The 22524-nt window shown below is 43.8% G+C and overlaps 1 long non-coding RNA gene across 1 annotated transcript; it reads right to left on the bottom strand.

The window, feature by feature from the left end:
- Positions 1 to 7590: 7590 nt before the first annotated feature.
- LINC00293 (long intergenic non-protein coding RNA 293) lies at positions 7591 to 22490 on the bottom strand. The gene is made up of 12 exons (NR_027012.1): positions 22441 to 22490; positions 22250 to 22331; positions 21024 to 21099; positions 19950 to 20026; positions 17295 to 17347; positions 15276 to 15400; positions 14475 to 14592; positions 13846 to 13927; positions 12633 to 12708; positions 9007 to 9269; positions 8782 to 8906; positions 7591 to 8612 (listed from the first exon to the last, which is right to left on the bottom strand). It is a non-coding gene; the product is annotated as a long intergenic non-protein coding RNA 293 (long non-coding RNA).
- Between the last annotated feature and the right edge of the window lie 34 nt (positions 22491 to 22524).

Genomic DNA, 22524 nt, shown 5'->3' with positions numbered 1-22524 from the left:
TGCACAAATACGCAACCCAGGATTTTAACTACTACCTTAAGCCTAGAGATAAGAGGCAAAATATCTTCTATTGGCCTAATCCCAATATAAGTCAGACCATCAGGCCTGTGAACTGAAGCAAGGTATATATCATAATCCCATTTGTGGGCAAAAAATTAGGAAAAAGAGCAACATCACTTTAGGTGATCTGGCAAGCAACATGTCACCACGCCTTTCTAGGCAGAACCTAGGTAGGAGGGTCACAATAACTGGGTGCTGGACCCAGAAATATGACACAATTTCACATGTGGAAAAACTTAACCAAGGGATGAGAGCCAAAACACCTACAGAATGTGCTGAAGATATGTCAAAAATACTCTCTGTGGCTCTGGTACAGACAGACAGGATGATAGCCTTATCAGGGTGCTGGGCCCAACAGTATGCAATAATTCCCTTTATTCAGGACTCTTTCAGAAGAGTAATATCATCTGGGTGCAAAAGGTCGCAATTTCCCTTTGTGGGCATGGTTCAGAAAACAGAGTAGGGTCACATGACCTAAATGCTGGGCTCAGCAATATGTCACAATCTCACCATTTTAAAGACCAAGGCAGGAGAAGAGAATCATATCACTTAGGACCTGAGATCAAAGATATGTCCCCATGTACCAAGTAGGCAGAGCTCAGGTAGACAAGGAGAGTCATATCACCTAGGTGCTTCCCTAGAAATATGTCACAATTTAATTTGTGGGCAGAAAAAACAGGCAGAAGGGCCACATCACATGGGTTCTGGGTAATGAGATATGTCACAAGGCTCTCTTAGGACAGCACCCAGGCAAGAGAGTTACATCACCTAGGCATAGGTTCTTTGCTTATGTCACAATGCTCCATGTGAGTAGAGCCCAAGGAGGGAGTCACTTCACCTAGGAGATAGGCTCAGAGATTTGTCACATTGTTCTCTATGAAGCATAGCCCTGGCAAAAGAGTACCATCACCTGTGTGCCTGGCCTAGAAATATGTCACTGTCCAGACTGGCAGGGCCCAAGCAGGAGAGCCACATCACCTAGGTGATAGGTCCAGAGATATCTCAAAATGCTCTCCTTGCATGGCTCTGGCAAAAGAGTAACATCAGCTGTGTGCCTGGTCTTGCAATATGTCACAATCTTTCCTTTATTCATGGCCCGTTCCAGAGAGGAGAGTTACATCACCTATGAGATGGACAGAGAGATATGTCACAATAATTTTGGTGGGCATGGAGAAGGCGAGAATGTAACATCACCTGGGTGATAGATCCAGTGATATGTCACAATTCTTACTGAGATAAAAGCTCAGGCAGGAGAGTCACATCACTTTGAGGTTGGCCTAGGTAGATATCACAATTTTATATATGGAGTGGAAACATTCTTCAAAGTCAAATTACACAGGTGCTTGGAAAAGATTTATATCACAATCATACTGTCAGAAAATTCCAAAAATGAGATTTACAATACCACACCGATCTTGTTTTCATGAGTGACAGTTCGCTTCATCCATGTGAGATGATGACAGTCCTTACTGTCAGTTGGGTGTGCGTATAAGACTCAGAATTTTGCCCATGTGCTGAGCCCTACTTTGACTCTGTCTGTATAACCTAAAGACTTTGTAAAATATGTGAGTGCTGTAATCTTTTGTGACCTTTGTACAAGAAGGTGATCCAGAACATCACACATGTCCCTCAACCTAGCTATTAGAGTCAAAATATCCTCTATTTGCTGAGTCCACATGTAAGAGTCATTATCATGCCTGTGAGCTGTGCCTAGGTATATGTTACAATTCCTTCTGTGGTTATGAAGCAGGCAGAACACCACATCACCTAAATGCTGGGCTAGAAATATTCCAATATTCTCTTTGTAGGCAGGGTTCTGTCAGAAATGTCACATAACTTGTGTGCTTGGTCCTGGACTTGCCCCTTGGGGGCCGTGTCCAGGAAGGAGAGAAGAGTCATATCAACTAAATGATGGGCCCCAAAATATGTCACATTGTCTCCTGTGACAGAGCCCAGGCAAGAGAGTCATATCATTTGGATGCAGTGTTTTGAAATGCTACAATTACCAAAGGAAGCAGGGTATAGGCAGGAGAGAAGTCATGTAACCTAGATGATGGGTCCAGAAATATGTCACAATCTCACCTGAGGACATTGCTAAGATAGCACAGTCAAATCACCAAGGTGCTTGGCCCGGGTATTTGTCAGAATCTGATTTGTGGGCTATACCTAGGCAGAATTATTAAATCACTCAGGATTTGGGCAAAGGTATAGGTCACAATTACACTTGTGGAAAGGTTTAAGAAGAGTCACCATCCTGCACATGTCCTGGCTCCAGTCACATGAGTTGTAATTAGGCTTTTGTTATGGTCTCAGGTATATGGAACAATATCACCTGTGGCCAGAGTGAAGGCAAGAAATTCACATCACTTACATGGGTGCGCGTCCGTGAGATGTCACAATCCAACTTGTGGGCAGCACCCTGGCAGAAGTGTCACATCACCTGGATGCTGGTTTCAGTGATCCCCTTTGTGTGGGCAGGATTTTGGCAAAAGAGGAGGCTGCCTTTACCTAGGCAATTGGCCTAAATATATGTCATAATGGCCATTATATGCAGTACCAAGGCTGGAGAGTGACCTTACATTGGTGCTGGGCCCAGCAATATGTCACAATCTCCCTGTGGTCAGGGCACAGGCAAAAATGAAGAAACATCACCTAGGTGCTGAGCTGAGTGATATGTTACAATGCTTCCTGTTGGCAGAACCCAGAAAGGAAAATCACATCACCTGGGTGAAGTACACAGTTATGTGTCACAATGCCCTGTAACTGCAGGGCCAAGGCAGTATAAGGGAGTCACATAACTTATGTGATGGACCTAGATATAAGACACAATTCTCTTTGTAGGCTGGTTTCAGGCAAATAACTCACATCACCTGGGTGATGGTCCCAGTGACATATAAAAGTGCCCTTTGTAGGCAGAACCAAGGATTGTGTTTTATATTGCTTAGCTGCTTGGTCCACATATTGCACAATTTCATCTGTTGTCTGAGCCTAGAAAAGAGAGTGAAATTATTCATGTTCTGACAAAGTTACCTGTCCCATTCACACTCTCAAAAATGCTCAGAAATAAGTTTCACATCCCATACAAGTCCTGGTTTCTTGTATGTGAGTCAACACTTTCTATGAGTTGGGTCAAAAGAGAGGAGACATAGTCTCAACAATGAGCCAGATTCATGTGTAAGAGCCCCAATCCCCCTTGAAGATTGTGTTCTAGTCAGGGAGTCACAGCACCACAGTGTGCTGAATCATGGTTCAAATGTTACCAACCCACCTGTGAATTAGATCCATATATGAGAGTAATTATTTCAACCTTCGACTGCTTTTTATGTGTGAGATTTAGTACCTCATTCCTAGGCCCTGTACATGTGAGAGAATGACAATCTTGTCTGCTAGGTTTGTATACAAGAGTCACATTCTCTTTTCATTGCTGGCCTCTGTTACAACACTCTTTGTACCATTAAGGCTTTATATGATATACCTGAGTGTCATAATCCTTCATGAACTTTATACAGGTGAAAAATCCAGGACTATATTCATGGTCCTTAGACTGGCTGTGAGAGTCAAAGTGTCTCTACTGGCTGGGTCCAGGTATGAGAATTATTATTGTGCATGTGTGCTTAACCCAGGTATATTCACAATCTCACCTATGAGCAGGGACAAGACAGGAGAGTCATATCCACTGCATACTGAGTCAGTGATACAGTATAATCTAATTTGTAGGCTGGGCCAAGTCAGAAGAGTCACACCACCTGGGTACAGCCTCAAATAATATGTCACCAAGCAAACTATAGACAAGGAAGAAGAAATAGAGAAGAGTCACACTATCTAGGTGGTGGGCTCTGCAATATGTACCAACCCCTTCTCTTTGCAGAGTCTAGAATATGAAGGAGAGTCACATCACCTAGGTTTTGCAATCAGCTCTATGTCACAGCTCTATGTCTTTGATGAGCAGGAACCAGGCAGGAGAGAAGAGACACATTACCTAGATGTTAAGTCAAACAATATTTCACAATGTCTTCTGGGAGCAGGACAGAAGCCAGAGAGACAAATCACCTAGCTTATAGGCCCAAGGATATGTGATAATATCCCCTGTTGACAGGGTCCAGGCAGAAGAGTCACATTATTATGATTCAAAACCAGCGATATGTCACAATGCAGTCACCGGAAGGAATTTAAGCCAAAAAGTCTCAACATCTGGGTACTTGGCATAGTAATATGCCATTTTTTTTGTCTTTGAGGGTGACAGTGGGCTTTGGACATGTGGGATGGTCACAACTTTTGCTTTCACCTGGGTGTGTAATCAAGAGTCCCAATCTGAACTTTTTGCTGGTCTCTGTCATGAAACTCTCTGTACCACCCAAGCAGTTTAAACATTATGAGTTAGTGTTGTAAAGTTCTGTGAGTTTGATAAAAATATGCAACTTGGGACCTTACCTATTGCCCTAAGCGTAGAGATGAAAGGCAAAATATCTCCTATTGGCTGAATCCCAGTATAAGTCTGACCATCTATGTCATAGTCCCATTTGTGGGCAAAAAACTAGGCAGGAGGTTAACATCACTTGGGTGCTGTGCCAACCAATATGTCACAATGACTTCTGTAGGCAGGGTATAGGAATTACAGTCACATTAACTGGGTGCTGGACTCACCAATGTGACACCATTCCACATGTGGAAAAAAACCCAGCCAAGTTATGAGAGCCAAAACACCCATATAATGGACCCAGGTTATGTCAAAATACCTTCTTTGGCTCCAGCACAGGCATGAGAGTCAGAGTATCAGGATGCTGGGTCCAGCTATATGCCATAATTCTCTCTATATGCAGGACCCAGGCAAAACAGTAACACTATCTGTGTGCTGGACCCTGCAATAGGTCAAAATTTCTGTTTGTGGGCATGGTTTGAGAAAAAAAGGAATCAAATAACCTGAGTGCTGGGCTCAGCAATATGCCATAATCCCCCAATTGTAAAGATCAGGCAGAAGAAGAGAGTCACTTCACTTAGGTCATGGGCTCAGAGATATATCCCAATGTCCCCAGTAGGCAGGGCCCAGGCAGAAAAGGAGAGTCATCTCACAAAGGTGCTTCCCTAGTTATATGTCACAATCTAAGATGTGGGCAGAAACCAGGCAGAAGAGCCACATTTCTTGGGTATAGCCTCAAGTAATTTGTCACCATACCCTATGTAGAAAGGTTTAAAGAAAAAAAGAGAATCACACCACCTGGGTGCTGGCTCAGCAATATGTAGTAATTCCCTCTCTTGGCAGAGTCCAGGACAGAGAGGAGAATCATGTCACCTAGGTTCTGCACTCAGTGGTATCTCACAATTTCTTCAGTGGCAGGATCTCCTTCAGACAGGAGAGGAGAGCCACATTACATAGATGCTATATTTAGTGATATGTCACAGTGTCCCCTGTGGGCAGGGCACTGGCAGCAGAGATATATCAACTAGCCAATATGCCTGGACATATATGAAAATATCCCCTGTTTGCAGGGCCCAGGCAGAAGAGTCACATTATCATGATTCTGACCCAGTGATATGTAACAATGCGCTTACGGAAAGAAATTTAAACCAAAAAGTCTCAACACCAGGGTACTAGGTGAAGGGATATGACACAATCTCCTCATTGTGAAGGGTGACACCATTAATGGTTAGCTCATTGTGTATATGAGTGTCACAATATCATGTGTGTGCTGGCCATTGTATGACAGTCTCTACAACATCCGAGAACTTGATACAACATGCATGAGAGTTGGAAACCTCTCTGAGGCCTACATGCTTATATGGACTCATGATCTTACATATTGCCCTAATCCCAGGTATGACAGTCAACAGCTCTCCAATAGGCTGGTTTCAGAGATGAGACCATTATTAGCCTGTGAGCTGGGTCAGAAAATGAGCCACCATCCCACCTGTGGGCACATTCACTTATGAAAGTCACAATTCCAACTTTGTGCTGTATTCACTTATTAGACTCAGGACCTCAACAATGGGCATTGTAAGTGTAGGAAGGTAACAACTTTTACTGTCAACTGAGTGTGTAGTCGAGAGTCACAATCTTAACATTTTGCTGGGCTCCGTTATGAAACTCTGTACCACCCAATAAGTTTTTATGATATGAGTTAGTGTTGTAAACTTCAGTGAGCTTTGTATAAATATGCAATGAAGGACCTTACCTATTGACCTAAACCTAGTGGTGAGAGGCATAATATCTCCTATTGGCTGAACCCCAATAGAAGCTTGATCATCATGCCTTTGAACTGAAGCAAGGTATTTGTCATAATCCCATTTGTGGGCAGAAAACTAGGCAGAAGATTAACATCACTTAGGTGCTGTGACAAGCAATATGTCATGATGCCCTCTCTAAGCAGCGCCTAGGAAAGAGGGTCATATTAACTGGGGGCTGAAGCCAGCAATATGATACAACCACATGAGGAAGAAACCCAGTAAAGTGATGAGAGCTAAAACACCTACAAAATGGGACAAATTTATGTCAAAATACCTTCTGTAGCTCAGGCACAAGCAGGAGAGTCACATAATTAGGGTGCTGGGTCAAGCATTATGCCAAAATTCCACCTTCATGCATGACCTAGTCAGAAGAGTAACATCATCCAGGTGCTGGGCCTTAAAATATGGCAAAAGTCCTATTCGTGGCCGTTGTTCAGCAACAAGACAAGAGTCACATTACCTAAGTGCTGGGCTCATCAATATGTCACAATCATCCCATTGTAAAGGCCCAGACAGAAGAAGAGAGTCACATCACTTAGGTCATGGGCTCAGAGATATGGCCCAATGTCACCAGTAGGCAGGGCTCAGGCACAAAAAGAGAGTCCTATCCCCTAGGTGCTTCTTTACATATATGTCACAATTTATTATGTGGGCAGAAACCAGGCTGAGAGCCACATCACCTGGTCCTGGGTACTGAGATATTCACAAGTCCCCCTTAGAAAAGGATTCAGGCAAGAGAGTTACATCACCTAGGTGCAGGTTCTACCCTCATGTCACAATGCTCCATGTGGGCAGAGCCAAGCAGGAAGTCACATCAGCTAGGTGATGGACCCAGAGATATGTCACAAAGCCTTTCTGAAAGCATGGCCCTGGCAAAAGAGTACCATCACTTTTGTGCCTGGCCTAGCAATATGTCACTACCCAAGTGGGCAGGTCCCAAGCAGAAGAGCCATATCACCTACATGATAGGAACTGTGATATGTCAAAATGCCCTCTTTTTGGCCTGGCCCCGGCAAAAGAATATCATCACCTGTGTGCCTGGCCTGGGAATACATCACTATTTTGCCCTGTGTACAGAGCTATTCCATAGAGGAGAGCTACATCTTCTAACTGATGGACACAGTGATATGTCACAGTTATGTCTGTGGGCATGGTGCAGGCTAAAATGTAACATCACCTGGATGCTGGATCCAGTGATGTCACAATTCTTACTGAGAGCATGGTCCAGACAGAGAAGTCACAACACTTCAAGGTTGGCATAGGTAGATATAAAAATCCCATATGTAGAATAGAACCAGTCTGAAGAGTGAAATCACGCAGGTGCTTGGCATTGATTTATATCACAGTCACAATGGAATAAAATTCTAGGTTTTAGATGTACAATACCACACATGTCCTGTTTTCATGTAGGACAGTTGCCTTCATCCATTTGTGATTGTGAAAGTCTTTACTGTCAGGTAGGTGTGCATATGACTGTCACAATTTCCTCTGTGTGTTTGGCCCTGTTACGACACTCCCTATACAACCCAAAGGTGTTACAAAATAATTGTGAGTGTTGCAATCTTCTGTGACCTTCTTACCAGAAGGAGATCCTGGACATCACTCATGTTCCTAAACCTAGTTATAAGAGTCAAAATTTCTCCTATTTGCTGGGTCCACATACAAGACTCATTATCATGCCTGTTTGCGGTGCCTAGATATATTTCACCTTCTCCTCTGTGGTTACTGAACAGGCAGAACAACCACATTACTTAAATTCTAAGCCAGAAATATTCCAAAATTCTCTTTGTAGGCAAGGCCCTAACAGAAAATTCACAAAACTTGGTTGCTAGCTCTAGCTCTATGGCATAATGCCCCTTGTGGAGAGTGTCCAGGCAGGAGAGGAGAGTCATATCACCTAAATGATAGACCTAGAGATATGTCACAATGCCTTCTGTTGAAACGGCCCAGGCAAGAAACTCATGTCATTTGGATGCAGTGCTTAGAAATGCAACACTCTTCACTGGAAGCAGGGTTCAGGCAGGAGAAGAGAGTCACATAACCTAGATGATGGGTCCAGAGATATGTTATGATCCCTTCTGAGGACACTGTTAAGACATGAGAGTCAAATCACCAAGGTTCTTGACTCAGGTATATGTCCAAATATTATCTGTGGGCTATAACTAGGCTGGATTATTAAATCACTTTGGAGCTGGAAAAGGTATATGTGACAATAACACCTGTGGAAAGGTTCAGGGATGAGAGTTACCATCCTGCACATGTCCTGGCTCTAGGTAAAAGAGTCATTATTAGGCCATTGATCTGGTCTCAGGTATATTGCACAACATCACCTGTGGGTGGGGAGAAGAAAGGAAAGTCACATCACCTGAGTGGGTGCTGGTCCAGTGAAATGTCACAAGACTCTGGAAAAAGAGTCATATCACCTGGATGCTGGTTTCAGTGATATATCTAAATCCTCCCCATGGGCAGGGCTTAGGCAGGAGAGGAGACAAACTTTACCTAGGCAATTGGCCTGTATATATGTCACAAGGGTCCCTGTGTGCAGGATCAAGGCAGGAGAGTGACTTCATCTTGGTCCTGGGTTCAGCAATATGCCTCAATCTCTGTGCTGGTCAGGGCCCAGGCTAGAGAGAAGAAACACAATCTAGGTGCTGAGCCAAGTGATATGTTAAAGCTTCCTATTGACAGACTGGCCCCCCGCCAAAAAAAAAAGGGTCACATCACCTGGTTGCTCTACCCAATTTTGTGTCACGATTCACCATAAGTGCAGGGCCAAGGCAGTAGAAGGAAGTCACATCACTTATGTAATGGAGCTAGATAAAAGCCACAATGCTTTTGTAGGCAGGGTTCAGGCCAATATTTCACATCAGCTGGGCGCTGGTCTCAGTGATATGTAAAAGTGCCCTCGATTCCATTGCCAAATGAGGTGTTATACATTGCTTGGTTGCTTGGTGTACATATGTCACAATTTCAACTGTGCTCTGGGCCTAGAAAGAAGAGTCAAAACACTCAGACGCTGGGCAAAGTCATACTTCTCAATCACACACTCAAAAATGTTCAGAAATAAGTTTCACAGTCCAACAAAAGTCCTGGCTTCAGGTATGAGAGATAACACCTCCTATGAGTTGGGTCAAAATACAGGAGTCGCAATCTCAACAATAGGCAAGATCCATGTATAAAAGCCCCAATGCCCCTTGAAGATTGTGTTCCAGTAGGGGAGTAAAAGCAATACAGATTTGCTGAATCATGGTTCAAACGTCACCAAACCACCTGTGGATCAGATTAATGTATGAGAGTAACAACTTCACGCTTCAACTGCTTATGTGTGTGAGATTAAGTACCTCGTTCATAGGCTCTGCTCATATATGAGAATGACTATCATGTCAGTTGGATGTGCATCTAAGAATCACAATAGCACCTGGTTGCTGGTGCCTGTTATGACACTCTTTGTACCACTCAAGCTTTATATGATATGCCTGAGTAGCACACTTTTCTGTGAATTCTTACAGGTGGGAGAGCTAGGACTTTACCCATGGCCATAAGAATGGCTATGTGAGTCAAAATATATCCCCTGGCTGGGTCTAGTTATGTGAGTTATTATTGTGCATATGAGCTGAATCCAGGTATATGTCACAATTTCACTTTTGGACAGAGACAAGACAGAAAAGTCACATCATCTGGGTTGTGAGCCAGGGATACATTATAATCTTCTCTGTAGGCAGGACCCAGTCAGAAGAGTCATATCACCTGGGTACAGTCTCAAATAACAAGTCATCATGCCCATTGAACACAGGGTTGAAAAAATAGTGAATAGTCCCACCCCCTAGGTGCAGGGTCTGTCCTGCAGACCCTGACTCAATGACTGATAAATGAAGATACTGACACACAGATATTCTGCTTTGCCAGTTCTACTGAGCATCTGGGTCACTTACAGACTCCAAGCAGAGTGCTGTAAACATTTGCAGCCCTGACCAGCCAGTGAGACTCACATTTATTCAGGAATGTTTACTTGACAAAGGCTTGAGTCAATACTAAAGGGCAATTGGCATTGTGGACCTCCCAAGTAGTAGAAAGCAATTAAGCACCTATGGTGAAACAAACGTGAGTCTTAGGAAAACAAGTTAGTTAGATAAACTACTCTACATTCCTTGGTACTCACTTTAAGCTATTTACTTAAGGTAAGGATCAGGTTGCCTTCAGCCATAACCCTTACTAAAGCTATGCAAACTTCTCGGCCTTCCAGGAAGGCTTCTGGATATTACTATAACTATCTTTAATATTTTTCACACAAGCCTGATTGAACCCCCATGACTAGGTGCTGGGCTCAGCAATATGTTATAATGCTCTCTCTTGGCAGAGTCCAGGACAAACAGGGGAGTCATATCACCTAGGTTTTGCACTCAGTGTTATGTCACAATTTCTTCAGTGGGCAGGATCCAGGCAGGAGAGGAGAGTCACATTACCTAGATGCTATACCTAGCGATATGTCACAGTGTTACTTGTGGGCAGGGCACTGGCAGGAGAAACACATCATTTAGCTATTAGGCTCAGAGATATGTGATAATATCCCCTATTGACAGGGCCCAGGCAGAAGTGTCACATTATTATGATTCTGACCCAGCAACATGTAAAAATGCACCCATGAAAAGGAATTCCAGCCAAAAAATCTCAACAGCTGGGTACTAGGCCCAGTGATATGACACAATCTCTTCATCTTTAAGGGTGACAACTTTAACTTTTAGCTGAGTGTGTATTTTAGAGTCACAATCTCACTTGTGTGTTGGGCCAAAGTATTACACTCTCTACAACATCCAAGGGCATTATAAAGCCTGCGTGAGAGTTGCAAACCTCTCTGAGGCCTAAAAGCTCATATGGACTCACAGTCGTACATATTGCCTAAACCCAGGTTTGATAGTCAACATCTCACCTACAGGCAGGATTAAGGGAGAAGACCCATTATTGTAACTGTGGGCTGGGTCCAGAAATGAGTCACCATCCCACCTGTGTCCAGATCCACATATAAAAGTCACAATTAAAACTTTGAACTGTATTCCCTTGTTAGACTCAGGACCTCAACAGTGGGCTGCGTAAATGTGGGATGGTGACAACTTTTAATTTCACCTGGGTGTGTAATGAAGAGTTTCAATCTGAATGTTTGGCTGCCCCTGTTGAATCTCTCTACCAAGAAAGAGTTTATGCAATATAAGTTAGTGTTGTAAGCTTCTGTGAGCTTGGTACAAACATGGAACTCAGGACCTTACCTATCGACCTAAGCTTAAAGATGAGAGGCAAAATATTTTCTATTGGCTGAATCCCAGTATAAGTATAATCATCATGAGTTGGAACTGAAACATGGTATATGTCATAATTCCATTTGTGGGCAAAAAACTAGGCAGTAGGGTAACATCACTTAGGTGCTGTGCCAGGCGATATGTCACAATGCCTTCTCTAGGCAAGGCATAGGAAATTGGGTCACATTAACTGGATGCTGGGCCCAGCAATATGACACCATCCCACATGTGGAAAAAACACAGCCAAGTTATGAGAGCCAAAACACCTACATAATGGGCCCAAGATATGTCAAAATATTTTCGGCGGCTCCAGCACAGGCAGGAGAGTTACAACATAAGGGTGCTGGGCCCAGCAATATGTAATATGCCGTAATTTCTGCTTTATGCAGATCCCAGGCAGAAGAGTAACATCATCTGGGTGCTGGGCTCTGCAATAGGTCAAAATTCCTTTTTGGTGGGCATGATTTGGGAAAAAGAGGAGAGTCACATATTCTGAGTGCTTAGCAATGTGTCAAAATCTTCTTATTGTGAAGGCCCAGGCAGAAAAAGAGAGTCACATCACTTAAATCACGGGCACAGAGATGTCCCAATGTCCCCAGTAGGCAGGGCTCAGGCAGAAGAGGAGAGTCATATCACCCAGCTGCTTTCCTAGGAATATGTCACAGTGTAACATGTGGGAAGAAATGAGGCAGAAGAGCCACATCACTTGGGTGCTGGGTCCTGAGATATGTCAAAAGGCTCTCTTAGGACAGCACCCAGACAAGAGAGTTACATCAACTAGGTACAGGTTCTCTGTTTATGTCACAATGCTCCATGTGGGTAGGGCCCAAGGAGGGAGTCACTTGACTTAGGTGATAGGCCCAGAGATATATCATAATGTCCTCTATGAAGCATAGCCCTGGCAAAAGAGTACCCTCACCTGTGTGCCTGGCCTAGAAATATGTCACACTCCAGGTTGGCAGGGCCCAAGCAGGAGAGTCACTTACCCTAGGTCATAGGCCCAGAGATATGTCACAATGACCTATTTTGTCCATGACTCTGGCAAAAAAGTACCCTTACCTGTGTGCCTGGGCTTGCAATATGTCACTATCCTTCCTTTGTGTGGGGCCCATTCCAGAGAAGAGGGTTATATCACCTATATGTGGATACAGAAAGAGGTCACAATAATTTTAGTGGGCATGGCACAGGCAAGAATGTAACGTCAGCTGTGTGCTAGATCCAGTGATATGTCACAATTCTTACTGAGAGAAGGGCCCAGGCAGGAGAGTCACATCACCTTGAGATTGGCCTAGGTAGACATCACAATCCCATATATGTGCTGGAAAAACTCTGTAGGGTCAAATTACACAGTTGCTTGGAAAAAATTTGTATCACAATCGTACTGTCAGAAAATTCCAAAGATGAGATTCACAATACCACACTTGTTCTGTTTTCATGTGTCACAGTTGGCTTCATCCATGTGAAATGATGACAATCCTTACTGTCAGCTGGGTCTGGATACATGACTAACAATTTCACGTGTGTGCTGAGCCCTGCTTTGGCTCTGTCTGTATTACCGAAAGACTTTGTAAAATATGTGTGAGTGTTGTAATCTTTTGTGACCTTTGTACAGGAATGTGATCCAAGACATCATGCATGTATGTAAATCTGGTTATAAAAGTCAAAATATCCTCTATTGGCTGAATCCATATATAAGAGTCATTATCATGCCTGTGAGCTGTGCCTAGGCATATGTTACAATCCCCTCTGTGGTTATGAAGCAGGCAGGACAGCCACATCACCTAAATGCTGGGCCAGAAATATTCCAAAATCCTCTTTTTAGGCAGACCTGTCAGAAACGTCACATAACTTGTGTGCTAGGTCCAGCGCTGTGGCACAATGTCCCTTGTGGGCAGTGTCCAAGCAGGAGAGGAGAGTCTTATCCCCTAAATGATGGGCCCCAAAATATGTCACAATGCCTCCTGTTGACAGGGCCCAGGCAAGACAGTCATATCATTTGGATGCAGTGCTCAGAAATGCTGTAGTTACCAAGGAATCAGGGCACAGGCAGGAGGGGAGAGTCATGTAACCTAGAAAATGGGTCCAGAAATATGTTACAATCCCTCCAGAGGACATTGTTAAGATAACGCGGTCAAATCATCAAGGTGCTTGGCTCTGTTATTTGTCAAATTCTCATTTGTGGGCGATACCTAGGCAGAATAATTAATTCAGGAGCTGGGCAGAGGTATATGTCACAATTACACTTGTGGAAAAGTTGAACGATAAGACTCACCATCCTGTGCATATCGGGGCTCCAGACATACGTCTTGTTATTAGGCTTTTGATACGGTCTCAGTTATATGGCACAACATCACCTGTGGCCAGTGAGAAGGCATGAAAGTCACATGACCTACATGGTTGCGGGTCCAGTGAGATGTCACAATCCACCTAGTACGCAGGACCCTGGCAGAAGAGTCACATCACCTGAATGCTGATTTCAGTGACATATCAAAACCCCCTCTGTGGGCAGGACTTTGGCAAGAGAGGAAACTCACTTCACCTAGGCAATTGGCCTAGATACATGTCACAATGGCGCTTATGTGAAGTACCACGGCTGGAGAGTGACCTCACATTTTTGTTGGGCCCAGCAATAGATCACAATCTCCCTGTTATCAGGGCCCAGGCAAAAGCAAAGAAACATCACCTTGGTACTGAGCCAAGCGATTTATTACAATGCTTCCTTTTGGCAGAACCCAAAAAGGAGAATCACATCGTCTGTGTGCAGTACCTTGTTATGTGTCACAATGCACTGTAAGTGCAGGGCCAAGGCAGTAGAAGGGACTGACATCACTTACATGACGGGCCTAGGTATACGACACAACTCTCTTTGTAGACAGGTTTCAGGAAGATAATTAACATCACCTGGTTGATGGTCCCAGTGATATATAAAAGTGCCCTTTGTAGACAGAGCCAAGGAAGGTGTTATATATTGTTTAGGTGTTTGTTCCACATATTGCACAATTTCATCTGTGGTCTGGGCCTAAAAAAGAGTGTCAGATTATTCATGTGCTGGCAAAGTTACCTGTCCCAATCACACTTTCAGAAATGTTCAGAAATAATTTTCACATCCCACAAAAGTTCTGGTTTCATGTATGTGAGTCAACTCTTTCTATGAGTTGGGTCTGAGTAGAGGAGTCACGATCTCATCAATGGGCAAGATCCATGTATAAGATCCAAAATCCCACTTGAAGATTGTGTTCCAGTAGGGCAGTCACAGCATCACAGGTGTGCTGAATCATGGTTCAAATGTTACCAAACCACGTGTGAATCAGATCCATGTATGAGAGTAATTATTTCAACCTTCGACTGCTTTTTATTTGTGAGATTTAGACCCTATTCCTAGGTCCTGTTCATGTGTGAGAATGGTAATCGTGTCAGCTAGTTGTGCACACAAGAGTCACATTCTTATGTCATTGCTGGTCCCTGTTATGACAGTCTGTACCATTAAGGCTTTATATGCTATACCTGAGTGTTATAATCCTTTGTGAACTTTATACAAGTGAAAAACCCAGGACTTCACCAATGGCCGTGAGACTGACCATAAGAGTCAAAAATCTCTACTGGCTGGGTCCAGGTATGAGAGTTATTGTGCATGTGTGCTTAACCCAGGTATATGTCACAATTTTATGTGTGAGCAGGGACAAGACAGGAGAGTCACATTACCTGGGTATAGACTCAAATAGTAGGTCACCAAGCTGGCTATATACGGGGTAGAAGAAAAAGATGAGAGTCACTCCACCTAGGTGCTGGGCTCTGCAATATGTAATAATCCCCTCTCTTGGCAGAGTCTAGAATATGAAGGACAGTCACATCATTTAGGGTTTGCAATCAGCGGTAAGTCACAATTTCTTTGGTGAGCAGGACCCAGGCAGGAATGTAGAGTCACATTACCTAGATGTTAAGCCAAACAACATGTCACAATGTCCTCTGGGGACAGGGCACAGGCAGGAGACACAAATTACCTAGCTTATAAACCCAGAGATAAGTGATAATATCCATTGTTGGCAGAGACCTATCACCTACATGCTTCCCTAGGTATATGACACAATCTAACATGTGAAGAGAGCTACAACAAATAGGTGCAGGTTCTACCCATATGTCACATTGCTCCATGTGGGCAGGGTTCAAGCAGGGAATCACATCACCTAGGTGATAGTTCCAAAGACTTGTCACAATGTCCTCCTTGAGGCATGGCCCTGACAAAAGAGTACCATCACTTGTGAGCCTAGCCTAGTAATATGTCACTATTCAGGTAATTAGGACCCAAGCAGGAGAGCAACATCACCTAAGTGATAGGCCCAGAGATTTGTCACAATGCCCTCTTTAGGACACGGCCCTAGCAAAAGAGTACTGTTACCCGTGTGCCTGGCCCAGCCATATGTCACTATCTCCCACTGTGTGCAGGGCACATTCTATGAGGAGAGTTATGTCACCTTAGTGTTTGACACAGTGATATGTCACAGTGATTTCTGTGAGCATGGCTCAGGCAAAAATGTAACATGCCCTGGGTGCTGGATCTAGTGATATTTCATGATTCTCACTGAGAGCAGGGCCCAGGCAGGAGAGTCACATCACCTAGAAGTTGGCCCAGGTAGATATCACAATAACATATGCCAGCTCTAACCAGTCTGGAGAGTCAAATCACACAAGTGTTCAGCAACAATTTATATCACAATCACACTGGCAGAAAATTCCCAGGATGAGATGTACAATACCACAAATGTTCTGTTTTTATGAGTAACAGTTGGCTTCATATATGTGAGACAGTAACAGTTCTTACTGTTGGCTGGGTGTGCATATGAGACTCACAATTTCACCTTCCTGCTGGGTTCTGTTATGACACTCTGTGTACAAGCCAATGGCTTTATAAAATATCTGAGGCTGTTATAATGTTCTGTGACTTTTTTTTTTTTTTACCGGAAAGAGATTTAATCACTCGTGTTTCTAAAGCAAGTTATGAGAGTCAAAATTACTCCTATTTGTGGGGTTCACATATAAGAGTCGTTATCATGCCTGTGAGCTGTGCTAAGGTGTGTGTCACAATTTACTCTGTAGTAATGAAACAGGTATGACAGCCATGTCACCTAAATGCTGAGCCAGAATTTTCCAATATTCTCCTTGCAGGCAAGTTCCTGGCAGAAAAGTCACATAACTTTGGGGCTACGTCCAACTGTATGGCAAAATGCTCCTTGTGGGCAATATCCAGACAGAAGAGGAGACTCATATCACCCAGAGATATGTCACAATATCTCCTGTTGAAAGGACCAGGCAAGAGAGTCTTATCATTTGGATGCAGAGCTTGGAAATGCTACAGTCCCCAGTGGAAGCAGGGTCCAGGCAGGAGAGGAGAGTCAGGTAACCTAGAAAATGGGTCCAGAAACATGTTACAATCCTTCCTGAGGATATTGTTAAGACAGGAGAGTCAAATCACCAAGGGTCTCACTTGAGGTAAATGTCCAGACTTCATGTGTGGGCTACCCTAGGCAGGATTATTAAATCACTCAGGAGCTAGGAAAAGATATATGTCACAATAACACTGGTGGAAATTTCCAAGAATGGGGACACTATCTTGCATATGACCTGGCTCCAGGTTTAAGAGTCATGATTAGTCCTCTTATCTGGTCTCAGGTATATGGCACAATATCACCTGTGGGCAGAGAGCAAGCAGGAAGGTCACGTCACCTGGGTGGGTGCTTGTCCAGTGAGATGTCACAATCTTTCTTGTGGGCAGGACCCTGGAAGAAGAGTCACATCAACTGGATGCTGGTTTTTGTGATACATCAAAATTCCCCCTGGACAGGGCTTAGGAAGGTGAGGAGACTCACTTCACTTAAGCAATTGGCCTAGATGTGTGTCACAATGGCTGCTATGTGCAGGACCAAGGTATGAAAGTGACCTCGCCTTGGTACTGGGTTTAGCAATATGTCACAATCTCCCTTGTGGTCAGGGCAAGGCAAGAGAGGAGAAACATCATGTAGGTGCTCAGCCAAGCAACGTGTTACAAAGCTTCCTGTTGGCAGGACCCAAAACAGAGTGTCACATCACCTGGGTGCAGTACCAAGTTATGTGTAACCATGCACCATAAGTACATGGCCGAGGCTGTAGAAGGGAGTCACATCACTTACATGATGAACCTAGATATAAGCCACAGTGCTTTTTATAGGCAGGGAACAGGCAAAGAATTCACATCACTTGGGTGCTGGTCCCAGGTGATACATAAAAGTGCCCTTTGTAGGCAGGCCCAGTCACCTTTGCTTAGGTGTATAGTCCAAGTATGTTACAATTTCATTTGTGGTCATGGCCTAAAAAAGAGTCAAATTATTCAAGGGGATGGGCTAACTTTTACGTCCTAATCACACACTAGAAAATATTCAGAAATAAGTTTCACAGTCCCACACGAGTCCTGGCTTTGTGTATGTGAGTAACACCTCCTATGAGTGCGGTCAAAGAGAAGAGTTACAATCTCATCAATGGGCAAAATCCATGTATAAGATGCCCAATCCCACTGCAAGATTGTGTTCCAGTAGGGGAGTCACAGCCTCACAGGTGTGCTGAATTATGCATCACCAATACACCCATGGGTCAGATCCGTGTATGAGAGGAACAATTTCAATCTTTGAGAACTGTTTTTTTTTGTTTTTGTTTTTTTGTTTTTTTTAGTCAGATTCTCCCTCTGTCACTCAGGCTGGAGTGCAGTGGCACAATCTTGGCTCACTGTAACCCTTGCCTCCTGGGTTCAAGTGATTCTTCTGCCTCAGCCTCCCAAGTAGCTAGGACTACAGGCAAATGCAATGATGCCTAGCCAATTATTGTGTTTTTAGTAGAGATTGGGTTTCACCATATTTGTCATGCTGGCCTTGAACTCCTGACCTCAGATGATCCACCCACCTCAGCCTCCCAAAATGCTGGGATTACAGGCATGAGCCACAGTGCCTAGCCTTCAACTGCTCTTCTGTGTGACATTTAGTACCTTATTTGTATGTGTTCTTGTGAAAATGACAATCGTGTCAGCTAGATGTCCATCCAAGAGTCATGATCTCACCTGGTTGCTGTTCCCTGGTATGACATGCTGTACCACTCAGACTTTATATGGTATGCCTGAGTGTCATAATCATCTGTGAACTTTATACAATTATGAGACCTATTACTTTACTTATTGCCATAAGACTGGCTATGACAGTCAAAATATCTCTCCTTATATCACAATTTCACCCATGGGCAGAAATAAGGCAGAAGAGTCTCATTATCTGGATTCTGAGCTAAGATCCATTATAATCTCCTTTGCAGCCAGGGCCAAGTCAGAAGAGTCACATAACCTGGGTACAGCCTCAAGTAATATGGCACCATGTCCACTGCAGACAGGGTTGAAGAAAAAGGGGAGAGTCACACCACCTAGGTGCTGGGCTCAACAATATGTAATAATCCCTTCTTTTGGCAGACTCCAGAATAAAGAGCAGATTGCATTACCTAGGTTTTGCACTCAGTGGTATGTCACAATTCCTTTAGTGGGCAGGGCCTAGGCAGGAGAGGAGAGTACATTTCCTAGATGCTACGTCCAGCAATGTCACAATGTTCCTTGTGGGCAAAGCACAGGAAAAATAGAAAAATCACCTAGCTGATAGGTTCAGAAGTATGTGATAATATCCCTTTTTGACAGGGCCCAGGCAGAAGAGTCACTTTATTATGATTCTGACCCAACGATATGTCACAATGCACACTTGCGATACAATTAAAGGAAAAGTTTTAACACCTGGGTACTAGGCCCAGTGACATGACACAGTCTCCTCATCTTTGATGGTGACACCTTTAACTGATAGCTTGGTGTTTATATGAGAGTCACAATGTCATGCATATTAGGTAATTGCATGAAACCCTCTACAACATCCGAGGGCTTTATACGGCATGCATCAGAGTTGCAAACCACTCTGAGGCCCACACGTTCATATGGAGTCAAAATTTTATACATTGACTTAAACCTAGGTATGACAGTCAACATCTCTCATTTGGGCCAAGTTCAGGAATGAGACACATTTTATGCCTGTGAGATGGATCCAAAAATGAGTCACAATCGCACCTGTGGCCCGATGCACATATGAGAGTCAAAATTCCATCTTTGTACTGTTTTCACCTATTAGACTCAGTACTGCAACAGTGGGCTTTGTAAATGTGGGATGGTGACAGATTTTACTTTCACCTGGGTGTGTAATTGAGAGTCACAATCTTAACTTTTTGCCGGGCCTTGTTATGAAACTGTCTGTACCACCCAAGTTTATACATTATGAGTAAGTGTTGTAAACTTCTGTGAGCTTTGTACAAATATGCAACCCAGGATTTTACCTATTGTCCTAAGCTTAGGGATGACAGGCAAAATATCTTCTATTGGCTGAATCCCAATATAACTTGGACCATCATGGCTGTGAAATGAAGAAAGGTATATGTCATAATCCCATTTTTGGGCAAAAAATTAGGAAAAGAGTAACAACACTTAGGTGATGTGTCAAGTAATATGTCGCAATGCCCCCTCTAGGCAGAACCTAGAAAGGGGAGTCATATTAACTAGTTGCAGGACCCAGCAATATGACCCAATTCCAAATGTGGAAAAGCTTAGCCAAGGGATGAGAGCCAAAGTACCTACCAAATGGGCCGAAATTATGTCAAAATACTGTCTGTGGCTCTGGCACAGGAAGGACTGTAGCATCATCAGCAGCTGGGCCCACCAGTATGCAATAATTCCCTCTTTTTTCAGGACTCTATCAGAAGAGTAACATCATCTGGGTGCAATAGGTCAAAATTTCCCTTTGTGGGCATGGTTCACAAAAAAGAGTAGAGTCACATGACCTGAATGCTGGGCTCAGCAATATGTCACAATCCCACCATTTTAAAGGCCCAGGCAGAGGAAGAGAGGCATATCACTTAGGTCATGGGATCACAGATATGTCCCCATGTCCCCAGTAGGCAGAACTCAGGCAGATGAGGAGAGTCATATCACCTAGATGCTTCCCTAGAAATATGTCACAATTTAATATGTGGGCAGAAACTGGGCAGAAGAGCCATATCATTTGAGTGCTGGGTGTTGAGATATGTCACAAGGCTCTCTTAGGACAGCACCCAGGCAAGAGAGTTACATCACCTAGGTGCTGGTTCTCTCTTATGCCACAATGCTCCATGTGGGTAGGTCCCAAGGAGGGAGTCACCTCACCTAGGTGATAGGCCCAGGGTTATGTCACAATGTCCTCTATGAAGCAAAGCCCTGGCAAAAGAGTACCATCACCTGTGTGCCTGGCATAGAAATGTGTCACTCTCCAGGCTGGCAGGGCCCAAGTAGGAGAGCCACATAACCTAGATGATAGGCTGAGAGATATGTCAAAATGTCCTCCTTTGGGCATGGCTTTGGCAAAAGAGTACCCTCACCTGTGTGTCTGGCTTTGCAATATGTTACTATCATTCCTTTGTGCAGGACCCATTCCAGAGAGGAAAGTTACATCACCTATGAGGTGGACACAGAAATATGTTACAATAATTGTGGTAGGCATGGTGCAGGCAAGAATGTAGCATCACCTGAGTGTTAGATCCAGTGATATGTCACAATCCTTACTGAGAGAAGGGCCCAGCCAGGAGAGTCACATCACCTGGAGGTTGGCCTAGGTAGATATCACAGTCCCTTCTATGGGCTGGAACAAGTCTGGAGAGTCAAATTACACAGGTGCTTAGAAAAGATTTATACCGCACAATCATGCTGTCAGAAAATTCCAAAGATGAGATTTACAATACCATACATGTCTTGTTTTCATGTGTGACAGTTCGCTTCATCCATGTGAGATAACGACAGTCCTTACTGTCAGCTGGTTCTGCATAAAAGACTCACAATTTCGCCTGTGTGCTGAGCCCTACTTTTACTCTGTCTGTATAACCCAAAGACTTTGTAAAATATGTGAGAATGTTGTAATCTTTTGTAACCTTTTTACAAGAAGGTGACCTAGGACATCACACATGTCCCTAAACCTAGTTATAAGAGTCATAATATCCTCTGTTGGCTGAGTCCACATATGAGAGTCATTATCATGTCTGTGACCCATGCCTAGGTATATATTACGATTCCCTCTGTGATTATGAAGCAGGCAGAACAGCTACTTCAGGGCTAAATGGTGGGCTAGAAATATTCCAATATTCTCTTTGTAGGCAGGGTCCTGTCAGAAATGTCACATAACTTGTGCTCTTGGTCCAGCTCTGTGGCACAATGTCCTTTGTGGGCAGTGTCCAAGCAGGGAGAGGAGAGTCTTGTCATCCAAATGATGGGCCTCCAAATATGTCACAATGCCTCTTGTAGACAGGGCCCAGGCAACACAGTTATATCATTTGGATGCAGTGCTTAGAAATGCTACAATTACCAAAGGAAGCAGGGTACAGGCAGGAGATGAGAGTCATGTAACCTAGATGATGAGTCCAGAAATATGTTACAGTCCCCTCAGAGGACATTGTTAATATAGCACAGTCAAATCACCAAGGTGCTTTGCCTAAGTATCTGTCAAAATCTGATTTGAGGGATATACCCAGGTAGAATTTTTAAATCATTCAGGAGCTGAGCAAAGGTATATGTCACTAGTACACTTTTGCAAAGGTTTAAGAATAAGACTCACCATCCTGCACATGTCCTGGCTCCAGGCATATGAGTTGTAATTAGGCTTTTGTTAGGGTCTCAGGCATATGGAGCAATACCACCTGCAGCCAGAGAGAAGGCAAGAAAGTTACATCACCTATGTGTGTGCAGGTCCAGTGAGATGTCACAATCCACCTTGTGGGCAGGACCCTGGCAGAAGAATCACATCACCTGGATGCTGGTTTCAGTGACATATCAAACCGCTCTCTGTGGGAAGGACTTAAGCAGGAGAGGGGATTCACTTCTAGGCAATTT

Source organism: Homo sapiens, chromosome 8 (genome assembly GCF_000001405.40).
Source record: "Homo sapiens chromosome 8, GRCh38.p14 Primary Assembly".
Lineage (NCBI taxonomy): Eukaryota > Metazoa > Chordata > Mammalia > Primates > Hominidae > Homo > Homo sapiens.
Note: the sequence above shows the minus strand (reverse complement) of the source record. Positions and strands in the feature narration are given on the sequence as shown.